General features: G+C 39.9%; 3 annotated features.

Moving 5' to 3' along the window:
• Positions 1,608-1,767: an enhancer, noted in NCBI's record as "active region_20052". NCBI's record gives its function as "activates an Ori minimal core promoter by ATAC-STARR-seq in GM12878 lymphoblastoid cells {active_cell/tissue: GM12878}" and the evidence as "EXISTENCE:reporter gene assay evidence [ECO:0000049][PMID:35858748]".
• Positions 2,572-2,631: an enhancer, noted in NCBI's record as "active region_20051". NCBI's record gives its function as "activates an Ori minimal core promoter by ATAC-STARR-seq in GM12878 lymphoblastoid cells {active_cell/tissue: GM12878}" and the evidence as "EXISTENCE:reporter gene assay evidence [ECO:0000049][PMID:35858748]".
• Positions 4,235-4,304: a silencer, noted in NCBI's record as "silent region_14518". NCBI's record gives its function as "represses an Ori minimal core promoter by ATAC-STARR-seq in GM12878 lymphoblastoid cells {active_cell/tissue: GM12878}" and the evidence as "EXISTENCE:reporter gene assay evidence [ECO:0000049][PMID:35858748]".

Raw genomic sequence — 4,325 nt, 5'->3', positions numbered from 1 at the left:
TACCTTTTTTGAAGGTTTACCTAGGAGTGTGTTCTCTGACTTAGAGAAAAATTTTGGCAGCTGTGCAGATGCCAATCTAAGTGAAATGAAATGGAAGGCGACTACAGTGTTAATGGAGAATGAGCTGCTTTTGAAAACTAAGTCTTACTAACCTCTACACATCTGAATGCAATTCCCATGTTTTCTCTGTTTCACCATGAGTCACTATGTGTGAAATCAGATTGGCAAAACGGGAAAGAAGGTCATGTAGAACAGAAGGGCTGGTCTGTTTTTTTCACTTCTCTTCTTTGTTCTCCACCTCTGTTCTCTCTAGGCTAAATTGTTGGACTGCTATGCCATTCTGATAAAGTAGGCACTCTGGCCACTTCAGTCCTGAGCTGGGCATGTTGCTTACATTTTAAAGCAAACAGTTGTCTGCAGTGAACTAGTTGTTCTGCATCCAGCATTTTCTGGGCAGAAATATGCATTCCACTTCAAAAGTTTTCTTAGTTTTATTGCAATATTTGGTGACAGCTTTCACTGAGGGACCACAATATATTCATAGATAACGTGATGTTTTGTATCCCAGCCCAAAGACCTGGCAAAAGAAGTATTCGTTGTCAATTCTCTTCTAAGCTTCCAAGGGTCATCTTTTTTCAGTTAAGGGGCTGATTGGTACAATGCATGAGAAAAAAAGTAGTTTGTTTAATTGTATAATGTAATAGGTAGAATTCTAAGGTGAAGATTTCTAAGATAACAGAGTCTCTAAGCCCCTAAGTGGCTTAGACAAGGTGAATTCACTCTACTCAGATCACCAATTTTTGAAAACTTGGAAAGTAATGAAATATACTAATGCAAAGTCTAGAAAACATAATTTAATTTTCCTTATTAATTCAGAAGACAGTTAAGGAGCTTACAGCGACTCTAAGAAATTACTACTACTACTGTTGTTTAGGAAAATTTGGTGATTGCATGGAATTAGTGCTAAGATATATCTTATGTGCTGCTTTTTGAATAAAGTTTAAAATGTGAAAATATTCCTGAGTGCTCATGTTTTCTTGATTCTGGAAAAATGGGATGGTGTGAAGTCAGAGAAAGCAAAATTAGAGTCGCAGCTCCTTCCTCTCTGGCAGGTGACTTTGGAGAAACTACTTAATCTCTCCCAGCCTCGGTGTCTTCATGTGTAAAGTGGGGATAATGGAACATCTGCCATATAGACGAGGCTAAGTGAAGGAATGTATAGGAAATGCTTAGTGTATAATAAAGGTTCACAGTTATATGTTACTATTATTGTTATTAGCAATAGGATAGCCCACGATTCTTGTTTGCTATTAATAGTGCTTTAATCTGATTTGTTTTCTATGCTTTCATTATAAACATCTACTAACTTTTCTCTACCTTGCTCCAACTTTATTGTTGTGGATGTATCTGGGTAGGGGGAAAAGGTTGAGAATATTCAGTACAATGCCAGCAAGTATTTCGAGTTCTTTTGAGGCTCTGTGAAAGCACTGTGGGTTTTTTTTCTTTTCTTTTCTTTTTTTTTTTAAAGAGGAGAAAAATGTAATCCTGCTCTGCCTTCAAAACTTCTGCAATCCAGTGGAAACACTAGTTAAATATGAGACAGTAAGAGGAGTGCTAAATAGAGATGCACTGAGCCTCAGTGCTCAGTTACAGGAAGTCAGAGGGTGTGGAGGAATTCCCCAGGGCTTCAGAATGTCAAGAGGCAGCACTGTGGGCAAGCTGAGTAAATCATCTTGGTCAAGATGAGAGTGGGAACTCCAGTGGGGCCCCACACTGTTGGTGAGATTTATGAGTATTAGAAGCTGTAACTAAGAACTTTATCTTCCAACTGCTCAGAACTGCATGACCAAAAGCTGTCAAGAGTGTATTAGTAACAATATGATTACTCCTTGATCACAGGCAATTGATACCCAAGAAAGAATTAAACCTCTTTAGAGGTTTAAACATAAATAAATAAATTCTGAAAAGACAGAGAAAGCTGTTTATAGCATGATTCCCTTCTGTCTCCCTCCCAAAATGTTAACCCTGTCTCTCTCTTTGGGGTATGGGAGATTTTTTTTTTCTCTAAATATTTCTACCTTTGTTAAATTATTTTAAATAAAAATGAACATGTAATGAGTCATTACTTTTTTCCAGTAACTGTTTGAAATGCTATTAGTAGCAGCTCTTTGTTAGTGTTCATTCCGGGGAGGGAGGGGTCAGATTCACTGTAGAGGTCTTTCTGGAGCTTTAATTTATTATTATTTTTAGAGACAGGGTCTCACTATGTTGCCCAGGCTGGTTTTAAACTCCTGGGCTCAAACAGTCCTCCCACCTCAGCCTCCCAAGTAGCCGGGACTACAGGTGTGGGAAGCCGAGCCCTGCTTGATGGGGCTTTTATAATGGGACTGGTGTGTCTAGATAGGACCATTCAGACTATCTGTCTGTTTAAAAACCATAGCAGATAGTCTAATTGTTTATGATATGTTCCATTTGAAGTAAAATAAATCTGTTGAAGGTTTTGCTTGCATGTCTCTGTTGCTTTCATTCCTGGCAAGGGCAGATGGCTATTTCTAATCCGTCAATCAATCTAAGCCAGTGAGAGTGCCTGGTGTCGTTTATCAAAATACCACCATGGTGAGTCAGGCTGTTAGTCTCAAAGCAAGCAGATGCAGGGCCAGATACCTTTGCAGACTTCTTCATCGGCTAGCTGTACTCTATCCCTAGGCCTCAGTTTCCTCCCCTGTGAAATGGGTGAGACTGGACTAGGTGGCCTTTAAGGTGACTGCTGCTTTTCACTATCTGAGAGGGTTGCAATGCTCACTACCACTAATCAAAGGGTATCCAGTATTGTTGGGGGTTCAGGCTACAGGAGCCCATTTTGATAAGCACTGAGGTTAAATCCTCAGTGAAACCATCTGTGGAGTTGTCTGGGCAAGAAAAAGTAGTTTCATAGTTGACGCTGAGACATGTGATGCAGAAGGAGGCTGGTATCTCTTGATAGGGACTGTGAACTCTATTCCCACGCTCACTGCCTGGCATTGACTTTCAGCTCAGTGAATGCTATTGAACTGAACCTAATTGGGGGACCATAAAGGACAAGCTTTCCTTAAGGTTCACTGAAAACTAGGACAAGAGGAGGTTAAATATCACAGTGTAGTAACAGCAGCTACATTTACTGAGTACCCATCAGGCTTTATGTACTCCATTTCAGTGGCCCTCAAACTTTACCAGTGGAGAATCACCCCAGGCTTTGCAGAAGGCTGAAGGGTGGGGTGGCGGGGGGGCGGTGGGGAGCGTGGTGGGGGCGGTGAGGGGTGAAAATTTGTGTTAAAAAAAACTTCCCAAGTGATGTTGATCAGGAACTGTATTTTGAGAGCCACTCTGGATTTTACTTAATTATCAGTCTTACAAGGTGAATAGTGTTATGCCCACTTTATAAATGAAGAAATAGAAGTGTCTAAGGGTTTCGTAGCTCACAACTGAGAAGAATTTAAAATCAGTTACTTTTGATTCCAAATATCATTCTTGTCCCACTCCATAGAAGGAGATGTGTGTGTACGTGTATATACATACATTTTTGAACATGATCATTTCCCTCTATCCAGCCATCCAGATTCACAGTGTATATTTGTATTTCTGACTCTAGAAGAAAATAATTGAAACTTTTATCACAATTTATCTTTAGGTGATAGGATTATGGGTGTTCTCAGTTATTCTTTGATTTTTGTGATTGTTTTCCTTTATACTTTTTTCTTTGTATCTAAATATACACATTTATCTCAGGAAAAGTTTTAATCATTTTGTTTCCGCTGAACTTATCTAACAGAATGTGACATGAAAATATTAATGCTGATTTGTTCAAAGAAAATAATAATCTCCCACCCCACCAATGTAAACGGATTTAGATAAATTTATTATTCAAGTGAGTACTTATAAAGGCAAAGACTTTGGAACCATCCTGAAAAGCAGAAAGTGAAAATTTCCTTGATCTTTGCCCCCAGAGGAAAGCTCTGGCATACTGGGAGGGTTCTTCACGAATTTTTCATAGAATATACCAATATTTTGTATAATTACGTATTAACATATAGTTTGTGTAAACGCATAATGTATTGTCTACATTTTCACGCTGCAGAGCAACATTATGCACGGTATAAGATTCACCTAATTAAGCGTAGGTAATTAAGATTATAATTACAGGGCAAGACTTTAAAGCCCATGGGAGCCCAGCCGCAGTCAACCTCGCACCTCCCTGCCGGTTGTGTTTCTGGCCTCGCCCCTCCCCGCTTCGCCAGCCCCGCCCCTCCCCGCTTTGCCAGTCCCGCTCCTCCCCGCCCTGCCGCGCG

The sequence above is a fragment of the Homo sapiens genome, chromosome 3 (genome assembly GCF_000001405.40).
Source record: "Homo sapiens chromosome 3, GRCh38.p14 Primary Assembly".
Lineage (NCBI taxonomy): Eukaryota > Metazoa > Chordata > Mammalia > Primates > Hominidae > Homo > Homo sapiens.
The sequence above is the reverse complement of the archived record's forward strand: the minus strand, read 5'-3'. Positions and strand labels throughout refer to the sequence as shown.